The sequence below is a fragment of the Homo sapiens genome, chromosome 10 (assembly GCF_000001405.40).
Source record: "Homo sapiens chromosome 10, GRCh38.p14 Primary Assembly".
NCBI lineage: Eukaryota > Metazoa > Chordata > Mammalia > Primates > Hominidae > Homo > Homo sapiens.
Window position 1 is genome coordinate 60,267,051 of NC_000010.11, and position 15,371 is coordinate 60,282,421.

Sequence of the window (15,371 nt, forward strand, 5' to 3'; positions counted from 1 at the left end):
TACTTAAGTCTTGCTACATATATACAAGATTTGAAGTGTGCCAGGCTTACTGAAAAAAATACATTTGAAAGAATTTGGCAATATCCCATCGTGTAGTGAATTAAAGATTCTATTAAAAACTTGCTATTTAAAGGATCCTTTAATTGCCCCCTACTGTTTGTTCTGTAAATACAGACTTCTCTATAAATAACACCAATATTATTGCTAATGAGAGAGCAATACAGTAATTAGAATATCATTTGAATAAAATGTCTTATTTCCTGTTGTTGTTCTTATTCTCCAATTCCAATAATCCAAAAGAAGAGAAAAAATTCAAAGGTTCAAACATCTCTAGGTAATTAGATGTTGTTTATATAGCAATATAACAGCAACCTCCCTGAAGACATGAACGTGACTTAATAGACACCATGTTTCTTGTTTTTTCCCTTAAAACTACAAAAATAACATGAAATTAAATCAATGTAAAAGAGTAAAAACTTTAAAATATATATCCTTTGCTAAAAGACTGAAGTAGTGATTTGAAGATCTCACGTACTATTTTTCTTTAAGTTAGCTGTAGGGCTTCTTTTGGGGCCTTGAAAACTTTAAAAAGTACTAGAGAGCTCTGAGAGTTACTGGTAATTGGTTTACAATCTAATTCTAATCTATTAGCAGTAAATTGGGGTTATGTTTGCTTCTAAAGGAGAGATACTTAGTGATCCGTACATCACAGTGTGAAAAAAGAGTCCTACGCCATCTTCACAAAGAAAGCTATGGAATCACTTTCATTAGGTTATTTACAGTACTTAATATTTCCATCCAAAAAATGAGGATGGGTTTTCTCTTAACCAACAGTCTCTGCCTGTCTCTATTTCCCCTGTCCGCTAGGACACAATGTGTGTATCGTAGTGTGCTTAGAATAGCTACTCTTGAGTGTGAAGAGAGGCACCGTTCTCTGCCTAGCAAGTTTGTTCTTTTTTGTTTGTTTAGAGACAGGGTCTCACTGTTGCCCAGGCTGGAGTGTAGCGACTACTCACAGGTGCAACCACAGAGCACTGTATCCTCAAACTTCTAGGCTCAAGTGCCTCCTGTCTCTACCTCCTGAGGGGCTGGGACTACCGGTGTGTGCCCTTGCACCCGGCTAAATGTTTGTTATTTTGATATCAACCAGTGGTTATTTCCTAACTAGCTTTAAGAATACTATTACAAAAATAGTACATTCTCATGATAAAAATTCCCCAAAGCACTGATGGGTATAAAATAAAAAAATATGTATAAAAATTCCCAACAGTACTGATGGGTACAAAGGCTCCCTCCGAATTCTCAGGGCAAACCACTGGTAACAATCTACTATGGACATTTTCCTATATCAGTACATAGAGCCTTGCCTCGTTTTTAACAGTGCTAACAGCGTGTTATTGTATAAATATATGAACATTTACTAACAGGTTTCTTTTTTCTTTCCAAGCCAAATAGTTCTGAATAAACAGGATTCTTATTGGTGTAAATTTAGATTCTGATTTTTAAAAATTGCTATTATTAATTGTGTTGACAAACATCCTTTATACTATTTTTGCATCCTAATGCAAACATATCTATAATATATATTTGATATATCTAATATTTCTATAATATAACTTTTTAGAAGTGCAGCTGCTAAGTAAAAAGGCTTGTAAATACTAGTTTTTGATAGTTACTGCCAAATGTTCTGTAAAAGTGTTGTAACCAACAATCAATTTCACCAGTATTGTAGGAAAGTTCTGGTTTCCTCTCCCCATGAAATTTTTGTTTTTAGTCTCATGGGCAAAAGATTAGATCTTATTTTGTATCTGACTAATAAATTAGTATTTGACTATAAATGAGGATGAGAAATTTTCATATATTTATGTTTGTTTGTGTATGTTTTCTGTGAGCTATCTCTTAATTTATTTAGTGGTTTCCCTAGAAGGTATAATCTCAAAAACTAAGTGAGATTAGATGCAGTTTATCTACTGCCATCTTTTCTGTGCTATTCAGGAAGCACATCAGCATGCAAGCAAGAGTAGTGGTTTATAATAGGGATAACCCTGCATCTGCCCTAATTCACTGTGTTGTTAGAAATAAAAAATACTCAAATATTGATCCTTTATTATTAGCAATAGATATCTGGTGACATGCTTAAGTGATTCCAGTCTTCCATCCAGATTAGTTTAAAAAATAAACAACATTACCTAAGACAGTGCCAATGGCCTAAATAACTTTCTATTTTTAAATAATTATTCTATTCTAGACAGCAAAGATTTTTTTTCTTCAAATACCACATCTATTTAACACTTAAAAATGTGTAATAGTTTTGGCTGGGCGTGGTGGCTCACACTTGTAATCCCAGCACTTTGAGAGGCCGAGGCGGGTGGATCACGCGGTCAGGAGTTCAAGACCAGCCTGGCCAAGATGGTGAAACCCTGTCTCTACTAAAAGCACAAAATTTAGCCATGTGTGGGTGGTGGGCACCTGTAATCCCAGCTACTCGGGAGGCTGAGGCAGGATAATTGCTTGAACCCGGGAGGCGGAGGTTGCAGTGAGCTGAGATTACGCCTTTGCACTCCAGCCTAGGTGACAGAGTGAGACTCCATCCCCCCTCCCCCCCCCCAAAAAAAGTACCATAGTTTTATTTATAACTATGAATTAAGTCTAGTTAACTTAAAAAATACAAATTCAATCATTATAATTAGGTAAACTTAAATTTGGAAAAACAATTTAAAACTAATGTTTTATTGAAAAGATAGTTCACATCAATTACTCCAAAACAATGATTGCCTTTGCCTATAAGCCAAAATTGTAAGAGACAGAAAAGAATTCTCAAGCAAATACGTTAAATATTAAAATAATAGCATAATTATAGCATAGAATCGGGCATTTAAGAGTAGAAAGAGTATCTATGCAACAGAAGATTTGTAAAAATTAAAAGTAGACTTATAGTAATGTATTTCATAAAACTTATGAACCCACACATTAATATAAAACTTCAATTGAAATACTAGTAGGACAAATTCACAACTCCAGGTTTTCAAAATGCCCTATAAATACGTGAACTCACCCACAGGAAAAAAACAGTATCTTACCTCTGTGGCTAGGCTCTGGCTTGCACCATTGTCAAGAAGAAACTTGACAACTTCCAGGTGATTTTCCTGGGCTGCCATATACAATGGCGTGAAACCATTCTGCAAAATAAGAAAAAAAATGTTTGTCTGCAGCTTTCCAGAGACAATCTATTTTTCCATGGTACTGATGATTTATGCTCCAAGAAGTGCTCACATACAATAACTTTAATAATACTTTCATATAGATATAAATATTTATTAGAAAACCCAAGCACCATGGCTTAAGCTAAATTCCTGATCTGTGTAATTCAAAATTATATTTCATAATTCATAATTTGAGTATAGCTCATAGTTAATAGTTCATAGTTAATAGTCCAAGTATAATTCAAAGCAATTTACCCACTTTAAAGAAATAAGTACACTCACTTAGTCATCAACCACTTATTGAGAGTCTACCATGAGTAAGTATTTTACTAGATGCTATGAGACTATGAAGAAAAACACATTTAGTCACTGTAGCTCCCAAGCATCAATTATCTGTTTTAAATAAACATGTAATATTTTCACACAAAAGTATCTGAACTAGTTTTGACTAGTTCAGGGAGGAATTTATATTAATCTCAAATAGCTTCAAAGCTTTTCAAATAGCTTCAAATAGCTTCAAAGTTACCACAGATGTGGTCTTTAAGAGCAAAAAAGAAATGCCGATTTGCATAATGGTATGATTCAATCTAATTCACAGTCTGTTTTTTGTAGGCCTCCTTTCTTTGTGTTTTTTTGCTAAGGTAGTTTAATGTTCAGAATACATATATGGATACATATTACATGTACATACATATGCACATATATTTAGTTTGAATGTGTCTGTGTGCCTCTCTGAAATGTGCATCAACTCTCAAAGAATTTGGATTCAAGCAAATTAATATGCATATTACATCTTTTCCTACTAAAAAAATGTTGTATATATATTTTTTCTCTAGAATAATGTATTTCATATCTATGAAATACTATACTATTTTAAAATCTTATTGCAAGATATAAGCATCAAACAATTTTCAAACTATAATTCTTTTATTATTATTATTTTGAGACAGGGTCTCGCTCCATTGCTCTGTATCAAAATAATAATAATAATAAACAAATGGAGTGCCGGGGTATCGTCACAGCTCACTGCAGCCTTAATCTCCTGGGCTCAAACGATCCTTCTGCCTCAGCTTCCCAAGTAGCTGGGGCTACAGGCATGCACCGCCACACCTGGCTAATTTATTTTTATTTTTTATAGAGACTGGGTCTCCCTGTGTCACCCAGCATGGGCTTGAACTCCTGAGCTCAAGCCATCTGCCTGCCTTGGCCTCTCAAAGTGCTTGATTATAGGTGTGAGCCACTGCACCGAGCCAGTAAATTCTTTTTGAATATACTTTTCAGAATGCAGTTCTATTTAACTGAATGTTCCAGAAATTTTACTGTATACATTACGCAATTTCAAAGAATAAAAGTAAATATATTCTAAACTACAATGTTACCAAATATTCAACCTTTTGTGATTCAAAAAGTTTAGGTTCATTATTATAAATATCAACTACTATATGATCACCTTACTTATCCATAAGTTCAGCCTCTGGCAAACACACTGCTTTTGGCTTATAACTGAGAATTAGAAAGTAAGTTAAAAAGATCCTCAAGCAGATAAATGCGATGCCACATAACAAATCCACCATAGCTATGTACTTATCAGAGAGTTCCTCTATTCTACTTCCTCTATTTGGCACAGAATTGTAACAAGTTAGGTGATCTAGTTGCCAAGCTCAAGATTAGAAACACAAAATTAGAGGCAGTGGAATGCAACATCACATTCAATCTTCTTCCTTTTAAATTGTCTACCTGATAATATCTCTGGAGCCCACTGTTACTCTGTTTTATCATGAAACATTCTACCACATTTAAACATGAAGCATGGAGTACTTGGAACACTGTGGGATTTGTGTGTGTGTGTGTGTGTGTGTGTGTGTGTGTGTGTGCATGCCCATAGGTCCGTGTGTCTTTCATCTTTGTCCCTCTTCCCAGTGCTATGACGCTATGAGTGAAATTCAAAGGGAGTTTAGGATTATCCTCATCATATTGCTATTTTCTCATTTTCTAATTGGACCAAAATGAAAGATCATTACATCCTTAGTTAATTTAAATATTCTTTAAGCAACAAAACAAGAAAAGAAAAGAAAAGGCCAAAACCAGTATGGCTTTTTCTCATAGCTAAACTAGGTACTAAGCATCTATCTTCCCTCATCAAGTGCTCTCTCCGAAAGCTGAAACTTCCAGAGGGCAGGTTCAGATTTTTAGAAGTTTTTTGTTGTTGTTGTTGTTGTTGTTCTTGTTTGTTTTTTTTTTGTTGAGACAGAGTCTCACTCTGTCGCCCAAGCTGGAGTGCAGTTGTGAGATCTCAGCTCACTGCAACCTCCACCTAACAGGTCCAAGAGATTCTCCTGCCTCAGCCTCCCAAGTAGCTGGGACTACAGGCATGTGCCACCTCGCCCGGCTAATTTTTGTATTTTTAGCAGAGGTGGGGTTTCAACATGTTGGCCAGGATGGCCTTGATCTCCTGACCTCATGTTCCATCTGCCTCAGCCTCCCAAAGTGTTGGGATTACAGGCATGAGCCACCACACCCACCTTTTTTTTTTTAATTCCAAAATAAGTGTTTTTCTTTCAGACATGAATATCAACAAGATATTTATGTCAAGACAAGTAATGTCAGTTCGTTCTCAATGTTGGGGTGGAGGTCTGCTGTGGCCCAAGATTGCCTAAGAAACACTAGTCTATCCACACATCTCTGGCTCTAGTGAGTGTCCACTGTTCTCACAGTTTCCTTCCAGAACCAACCATTTCAGGATCCATGAAGAAAGCCCAGACTCAGGCACTGGGTTTTAAGGTAATGCTTTCTTACAGACCGGGAGTTTCTCAAGAGTTATTCTTAAAAGGCACAACTCTGAAATCACTCTACATGCCCTGTTTTATGATGACAGAAACTGAGATGCACAGAATTAGGACTACTTAGAAATATTTGTAGACAACAGCCACAGCAAGATGCAGCCCTATAATTCATTGTTTTCCTTTTCCACAATAGCTTTCTACTTTCTTTTTGAGTGCTTGCCATCCTAAGATTATTACCTGAAAGTTGGTCATTTTCTGAACAGTTACATACTTCCTTGTTTTTTGATTTTTAAAATATTTGTTTATTAATATATAATTTGCATATCATAAAGCTCACCTTTTAAAAGTGTACAATTTAGTGGCTTTAAGTATATTCATAAAATTGGGCAACCCTTCCCACTATCTAATTCTAGAATATTTTCATCACCCCAAAAAGAAGCCCTCTATACTCCTTAGTGATCACTCCCCATTTCCCCCTAGTAACCACTAATGCACTTTCTCTCTCTAGTTTTGCCTATTCTGGATATTCTATATAAACAGAATCATATGATATCTGTCCTTGAATGGTCTGATACTATTTCTTTAATTTTCTTAAGAGATAGTGATATGATTTGGCTGTGTCCCCACCCAAATCTCACCTTGACTTGTAATAATCCCCAGGTATCAAGGGCGGGGCCAGGTGGAGATAATTGAATCATGGGGGGGGTTTCCCCCACACTGTTCTTGTGGTAGTGAATAAGTCTCATAAGATCTGATGGTTTTATAAATGGGAGTTTCCCTGCACAAGCTCTCTTGCCTGCCACCATGTAAAATGTGACTTTGCTCCTTATTTGCCTTCCACCATGATTGTGAGGCCTTCTCAGCCATGTGGAACTATGAGTCAATTAAACTTCTTTCCTTTATAAATTACCCAGTCTTGGGTATGTCTTTATTAGCAGCATCAGAACAAGCTAATACAGATAGGGTCTTGCTCTTATTGCCCAGCCTGGTGTGTAGTCGTGTGATTATAGCTCACTGCAGCCTTAACATGGGCTCAAGCGATTCTCCACCCTTAGCTTCCTGAGTAGCTAGGACTATGGGCATGCACTACCACATCTGGCTTTTTTATTTGTATTTTTGTGGAGATAGGGTCTCACTATGTTGCTGAGGCTAGTCTCAAATTCTGGCCTCAAGTGATCCTCCTTCTTTGGCCTCCCAAAGTGCTAAGATCACAGGCATGAACACTGTGCTTGGCCTTCTTATGCTATTTCTGCTATCTATATTGATAAAATGTTTTTGGTGAGTGTTTCATGGTGGAAATTTCAATTTTACAGTGGTCATTTGTAGTGCATGGGTGTTTGTTTTATTTTGCTTTAGTTTTGGTCACCAGTGCCCACACACCCATTTCCCCTTCAGGACAATGTCACCCCTATTTTCTTTCAGAGAATTACCTATTCCCCATTATGCAGGTAGGACTTGTCCTGGATGGACTGAGACAGAGAAGCTTGCCCTTCATTAATTACAGGGTAGACACACATGCAGGCTATCTTCTGTTTTCTCTTTTAGGTCCACCCTTGATTCTCCCTCTCCAGTCTTGATTGACCTGTAGGAACCAGGTCAAAGGGTAATCCTACTCTCTTTCTTCTCACTCTGTTCTCCCACTCTCCACCCCAGCTATTGGGTTTCCAAAGCTTTCTGAAAGATTCTTTAGCTTTCTATTCTCTGTGTTCCTTAACTAATTCCAATAAATTCCCTCTTGTGCTTAAGTTAGTTTCTCTCCCTGTAATTCAAGTAACACCCCAAAATTACAAATTTTATGTCTCAAGAAATGGTCAAGACATGAGAACACATACATAACCATTTAGTTATGATTCTAGAGAGAAAATTAGAAGTGTTCTTTGGAAAGAGCGAATAAAAATATTGCCATCACTCCCTAGCTCAAAGAGGTTGAGGCATCATTAACTCAATGTGTTGTCATTAGACAACCTAGAGCCATAACTGTTTGCTGTGAAATGGCACATGGATTGGGAGAATGGTCAGATTTCAAAATAAGAGAAAAAAGTACACCACTGTTTTTATAACAATTTCCTAACTTAGAACATTTCCAAAACAAAGGTAGCTAAAAAGGAATATATGGGTGCCCAATTTGCATTTTCTTTTCTGTAGCAACAACAGATTAAATTCTCAAAAGGCAGAGCAGCTTAAGATGGAACGAGTATGCTGTTTGAAGTCTGATTTTATCCAATATATTCAATACCTTCTGCTCTGAATGTTTATAGTGGTGCTATTATAAGCATGCAAATCTGCAGACTTATAATTTTGTAGATAGTACTGAGGCATGCTGTCTAATACACATCAAAATGAAATAATAAGTATTCCTATGACTTCATTTGGAAAAGGGCTTAAATTTCATCCATGAAATTTTTCTACTCATTCTAGTTTTCTATGGCCAGCCTTTGCACATCATAAAGTGCTGTTTTTAACTAAGATGTTAAGGGTATGGTGAAAGATTTGCATTGATTCATATACGTTACTAATTTTCATGAAGGTCAGTTAGATTAGAGGTGCAATATAAGGTCACAGAGGCTCAATCTGAACCATAACCAAAGTCCCATACTTGTACTGTCTAACTTTGTCAGGATCCGACTTTCCCACCATAGGGAATATCAGAGTACCCAGAAAGACCAAGGAGGCACTGGCTAACCTAAAGGGTCTTACCTTTGCAAATGCCACTAGAAAAATCTGTTCACTAAAAATACTTTGGTAGTTAAAATATTATTGGAAACAGACTTTGCTTCTTTATAAATTCAGTTGGTATTTTATATTATAAAGACAGAGAAGGAGAGAAGAGTGGGGGATGTCATTTGACTGTGCAGTTTGAGATTTTTTCAATAGCAAACATTGTTAATCATTGTTGATACATCTAATATAAAGTATTAAGGACTTAATAATAGAATTCTTTATAATCACAATTTAGTCAACTCAATTTCTTTCTCAGAGTAGGACTAAATGATTACTGGAATGTTAAGTACTAAAAGAAAGAGTTAACTTGTTAAGACCTAAGATCAAGGCAATGACAAAAATTACTTTAAAATCTACAAATTCCTAGTTTATAGAGCCTTGGTTTATAAGATGAGAACTTGATATTGCCCAATGTCATTTTTATATTTAAGATAAGGAGAATTTTTATAGTAAAGAAGAGTAAGGGGCTCTTTTTACCCTATTTTTTGTTGGCTATTAAATATCACTTACAGGTTAAAATTTCATGTCAACAGAGATGCTGTCTTGAATATTAATATTTCTGTCCTGTTTTATGTGCTGCTTCCTAAATGGAGGTGACATCATTGTTTGTTACTCTTTATAACAGTTCCTACTGAAGAGTTGTTACCAGGAATTATCATTGAAACTCCATTCCTCTGCAGGGTCATCTCATTACTTATTCCATCCACAGAACAATGCAGTTCAGAAGGCATATGAGGGCAGGTGTTCAGATGAAGGGGCAAATGCTTTGCTGTGCCATGTGTGGCTGGTAATTCCGAGCACAACTGTAAGTAACAGGGAATTTCACATGTTCTTCTGCCTTACTGCATCATAGGTGTGGAATGCGTATAAATTGAAATTAGAACTAATTAGGATTTTATTTCAACTGCAGTTTCTCCCAAACATTGCCGAGCCAGTTTAAAACCATGGCTACTCTAACCATTAATAGTCAATAATGGATGTGATGTTTGAAAGGAGGAGGTTGATTAGGTTGATTTTTTCCTCCCTTGAGAAAATAATAAAAGAAATGAAAATGGATTAAAGAGTTTTCCCACTATCTCAGAGCCTAAAACTACCTAGCCACATTTCAGTAAAATATTATTGGGGTATTTTGAAAAACATCCGTTTAAAAGCATGATGCTTCTATTGTAGTAAGCTGGTCTGTGTCTCTCTCAAAGTACCATACTTGTTGCTATTCAATTTTACATCATTCCTTTCTGGAAAAGCATTATTACTCCAAGAGAACTCTCCTAGGGAATCAGAATAATTGGCATAGATCATGTAACAGGGATCTAGAATTAATTTAGAGCAAATATACAAGAACCATGCAGTTGGAAGCACTGTGCAGTTCCTTTTCTTTGACTCTGACATTTGATGGCATCAGAGCTATCACTGCTATGTCGGTAGTAAGCAGGGGAGGAAGTCACTACAATTCTGTGAACCCATAAAACAGAGGAGACTCCCAATATCCAAAGATAATCATACTAGAAAATCCTGGTAAAATCAAGTGCATTTAAAATGGAGAGCAAAAGGCCATAGTAAATAATTTTGTAAAGTTTGATTCAGACTTACTCTTAAAAGATAAAACTGGAAATTATAAAAATAGGCTTATATGATTTAATAAAATGTAAGTTATAACTGGATTCATATATGTTCTCAGAATGAACAAAGACTAAACCAAGTGTTATTTTTCCCAACAAAATGATATATGTTGACATTCTTCACTTTTTAATTTTCATAGCATAAGCAAAAAAGACCATCTTTTGGAAGAAGTATTTGCCATCCAAAGATCTCACTTATCTTTTTGTCTTCATTTAATCTATGTATTTTCAAATCATTCTTATATGAAACCGCTAACAGGAAATCATCCTAACTTTTCACATGCTTCCTAGCCTAATACTGCCAGAGTGTGCCATGTACCCACAGCTCAGCTGTGCACCCAGAAGTTCTCCAATATCACTTTCCTTGACTTCAGGAAACTTAGTGTCTTTGTCAAAACTTGCAGTTTTGTTCTGCAATCAATTTGTTCAATATCCAACACCCCTGGGGAGACAATGACAAATAAGGATGGAAGTCAGCATTCGACTGGAAGGAATGTTTGAGTGGGAACCAGTTTTAAATGTGGTCATGTCCTTAGTGAATATTTTTGAATTATGATGATGTTTGCTTTCCTACATGACCTGTCTGTGGAGACTCAAATAATGAATACTTGAATAATGAGGACCTATATTTTTAAACATAATAAAGCAAAGTTAATTCTTTTAGATTCAAAGTCTATCAAATGATAAATGATAACCTATTGGTGTTCCTCTTAGAAATTCAATGAAAGACCATGTAAGATTTATAGGAGGACCTATGTTCATTACAAAGAATCTGAAAATTTTTATTAAACTTGAGGACTTTTAAAGTTCCTTCTGCCTGTTTTTAAAAAGATTGAACCTAAGCTAGCATCATAAAATAGTGTAAGACCCTGCATTACAGATACCCTTTAAACATTTGTGTCTATGACTAGTATCTTTTATAGATAGGCCGCTTTAAAAATCTCTCTCTCACACACATATATATTGCAAATGAAAATACATATGAATTTAAATAATCTGCAATAATTTATCTTTTTGAGACAGAGGCTTGCTCTGTCACCCAGGCTGGAGTACAGTGGTGCAATCTCGGCTCACTGCAACCTCCACCTCCTGGGAACAAGTGACTCTCGTGCCTCAGCCTCCCAAGTATCTGGGATTACAGACACCATGATGCCAGGCTAATTTTTTTTATTTTTAGTAGAGACAGGATTTCACCATGTTGGCCAGGCTGGTCTCAAACTCCTGCCTCAAGTGATCTGCCCGCCTTTGCCTTCCAAAGTGTGCCAAATATAACTTTTTAAATATAGTTCTTAAGTATTCTGTTCTTAGAGGATATGTGAACTAAGCAAGCACCTGACCCAAAGAACATTGTTTGTAAATGATAACAAAATGTCTGTGGCATGGAGTTGTAGGCTTACCTGAGATTGTGCATTGACATTGGCTCCATTTGTAACCAAGACTTTTACCACCTCTGCTTGCCCAGCCAAAGATGCGATGTGCAATGCTGTGTTTCCTTTCTGTGAAATGAAAGTCAAGATATATCAACTCATCGATCTTTTGAATTTTCCTGTTCTCCCCAAAGAGAACAAATTTGACAAATATCTTATGAGATATGTGCCCCCATTCTTACTGAGGGCTGAATCCTCACAGAACATGGCGAGTGGTTCAAAAAGCATTAAATATGTGATACTGACCTTTGTAGCTGCATCCACATTGGCTTCTCTCTGCAGCAGCTCAGAAACAACCTCTACATGGCCTTCTTTGGAAGCAAGGTGGAGAGCGTTCAACCCATTCTGATTAAAAGTAAAGGAAAAGCTCTACTCAGCAGGTTGAAAATAGAGCAGTAAACAACCGACCAAGAACTCCTGAGATATTATAAAGTCCCACCTGATGATCACTTGCATGTATGCTGTGCAGGAACTTGAATCTTGAATTAGGAATCAAAGTACTTCAAAACTGGATGGGTTGTTCTGTTATCATTATTTACTAAATTTTAGAAATTAATTATTAAGGGACATATGCTGACATTTCTGAATGTTCCTCTAACAGAGAATAATTTGACAATGACAAGCTGATAAAATTCAATGGAAAAAAACCCCACAAATAAATGAAGTCTTTAAGGAGCTTGAAGTCTGGATTTTTAGAATTTTAAGTAAAAAATTCAATAATAACTCCAGCTAACCTGATTGCAAATGTTGATGTCAACTCCATTTTTTATGTAGTCGAGGGCCTTTTCAAGGTGTCCAGCTCGAGCTGCTCTTAAGTAACTTGCATTGGCATCAGACTAAAATAAAAAAGAAACACATTTTGATGAAAAATGAAGCTAATATGCATGTTTATAAACTATCCAGCTTAAGGTCCAAACTAAAATAATTGAACTCTTTTATTTCTAACATGAAAATATGAATAAAAGTTCTTTGTAAAAAGAACCAAGAAAAGGACACATTTTTTAAAAGTTAGTTTCAAGGGTACAATGTTATCCCTTGTGTGATGTCAGAATTCCTTCTGAATTGAGAGATAAAATTTCCTATAAAGTATAGGCACCTTAAATCAACACACAATTTCCAGAGGGAAAAGAGAAATTCTATAACTTATTGATAATTACATTATGAAGACCCCACTATTTTCTTGTAGCAGAAATGTAACATCTATTCCTTTTATCCATATCTACCACAGCAATTTTTTCCATTAATGGATTCAAAATGGCATTATTCTTTTTCTTCTTAGAGACAGGGTCTCACTTTGTTGCTCTGGCTGGAGTGCAGTGGTGCAATCACAGCTCACTGCAGCCTCGAACTCCCGGGCTCAAGTGATCCTCAGCCTCAGCCTCCTCAGTAGCTGAGACTATGGACATGCGCCGCCATGCCAGGCTACTTTTTTATTTTTTAGAGACGGGGTCTCACTATGTTCCCAGGCTGGTCTTGAACTCCTGGCCTCAAGCAATCCTCCCACCTTGGCCTCCCAAAGTGTTGGGATTATAGGCATGATCCCAACTTAACCCATTATATGTTGTACTTAATAGTCTAACAGATATTTGCAGGCAATGATGTTCTACTGGATTTTCCTACAGTACATAGCCATATGTAGGAGCAGCAGCAGAAAGAAATACATATACAATTTTAGAACAACAAGACATGTAATTCACTCATTGAAAGCTTGCAACATTGAACTACTGCTAAACTCTAACATCTATAATTTCATAGTTGAAACCACCTACTATTGAAATCTCTGATAGAAAGATGGTGAGAGGAAAGACACTGCAAAGCTGGGCCTGCAAAATTTGTAAAGAAGTCTTGCTTAATACAGTACAATACAAAAGCAGGTTTTCCTGAAAGAGCAGCCAAAAACATCTTGTCACCAGTTATAAATGCAATCATGCAGGGTATGGCTTAAAAGAGAAAAGTGTCTTCTTTCAGCAATATGGTAAACACCGCCTTCAAAGGCTTTGTTCATGCCGCCTCATCTGTGAAGCCTGCCCAGACCCCCCAGGTGGAGTTTAGTTTCTCAGTGCTCCCAGCATTAATTTCATTGAACTCTCTTCGTATTTACTACACAACATCACAGATTTTGGTATACCTGTCCTTCTTCCACCCTAAATTATGAGCCCCTTCAGAATAAGCAGAGGAGGCAGATTAAGGAGTAGGCAACTGGAAAGCAGCCAGGATGCCAGTCTTTAAGAGAGGAATGCTAATTCTTTCATGGAAATGTAATTGAGAAGAAGAAAATTCTACCCCTCAGAATGGTCTTTGGTTCCAGTGTGGGTCAATTCACTAAGAGTCAACTTGCTCAGAACCTCAGAGGAGAGGCCACTGCCTCTGGAGTCACCTGCCCCCTTCTCTTTTACAGTAATGAGCCTCTCTCAATCACTACTGTGCCTCTAAATTGGGGCTTCTCAGCCTCAGCAGTATTGGCATTTTGATCTGAATAATTCTTTGCTGTAGGGGACTGTCCTGCTCATTGTCCAATGTTTACAAGCATTTTCTATTGACCAGGTGCCAGTGGTATCCCCCATTTGTGATAACTAAAAGTGTCTCCAGAATTGCCAAATGTCCCTTGGGGGAGGGGGCAAAGTCTTCCTAGTTGAGAACCACTGCTTTAAATAAACAGTAACCCAACTTACATAAAGATTGTACACTTGAGGAGGCTTAACTCTTTGGCCTGTTTGGGTTGCCACAAGCCTTGTCTCAGCACAAGGCAATGTGACTCCATGTAATATTCATCTTACTGTTTCCCCCGCAACTGGAAGCATTCTTGGCATATAGCAAGTGCCTGTAAGTTTTTTGTGAATGAATGCATCAACAAATAAGTAAATTGGGTGGAAATAACTATTAATTAAAGTATTGCCTGGAATAATATAGGAGGCTTTATTAGCAGCAGCAGCAGTTTAAGTTGAGAATCTGATAGATACAAAGGTGAATACCAGAGATTATAAACTAAGTCACCGAGTCAGGTGTCTGAGAGCACACACAGCTATTACTTAAAATAACATAAAATTGGAATTTGAGATAAGCATGAAAATCATTTAATCAGAGCAGAGGGTTAAGCAGATGACAAAAGATAAAAGTTCAACTTAAACAAAGGACAAATAAAAGTTTCCAGGGATTTAAAGAAAAACAGAATGCAGTTTTTAAAGAGGTTCACTATTTAGAGGTTAGTTTTTTGTTTATAAGTTCAGTTAGAACTAAATTAGCCACGCAAGGATGGCTCATTGCACCGTAAAATATCATCTTCTTTGTGCCTGTTCAATGACTTATCAGTGAATTTGCCCAGAAGGGCTCTGATGCCGTTCTGGGAACAAATGACATCAGTCTGCCTGGATATTTCAACTGCCAGAGATAACAACTGTGAGTTAAGCATCCCAAACTCCAACATGGAGTACATAACAACAGCGGCTAAAGAAGTTAAAATAGAGGTATTATAATTCAAGAAAAAAGCCTTTGAATTGATCGCATATCTGGAAAGATTTAATAATTCCATACACTGTCCATTTTGCTCTCAAGTTTCCTCAGAATTTTCCCATCCAAACCTCTAAAACAAAACAAAATCGGTATAAAACAAATCTTCGA

General features: G+C 36.6%; 1 protein-coding gene across 4 annotated transcripts in view; it reads right to left on the reverse strand.

Moving 5' to 3' along the window:
- ANK3 (ankyrin 3) overlaps window positions 1–15,371 on the reverse strand; it is a 707,231-nt gene that overhangs the window by 240,753 nt on the left and 451,107 nt on the right. For all 4 annotated transcript variants that reach the window (NM_001204403.2, NM_001204404.2, NM_001320874.2 and 1 more), the window contains 4 exons: window positions 12,488–12,589; window positions 12,000–12,098; window positions 11,724–11,822; window positions 3,081–3,179 (listed from right to left, as the gene is read on the reverse strand). In NM_001204403.2, coding sequence (NP_001191332.1) covers window positions 3,081–3,179; window positions 11,724–11,822; window positions 12,000–12,098; window positions 12,488–12,589 — 399 coding nt within the window. The remainder of the gene's footprint in view (window positions 1–3,080; window positions 3,180–11,723; window positions 11,823–11,999; window positions 12,099–12,487; window positions 12,590–15,371) is intronic.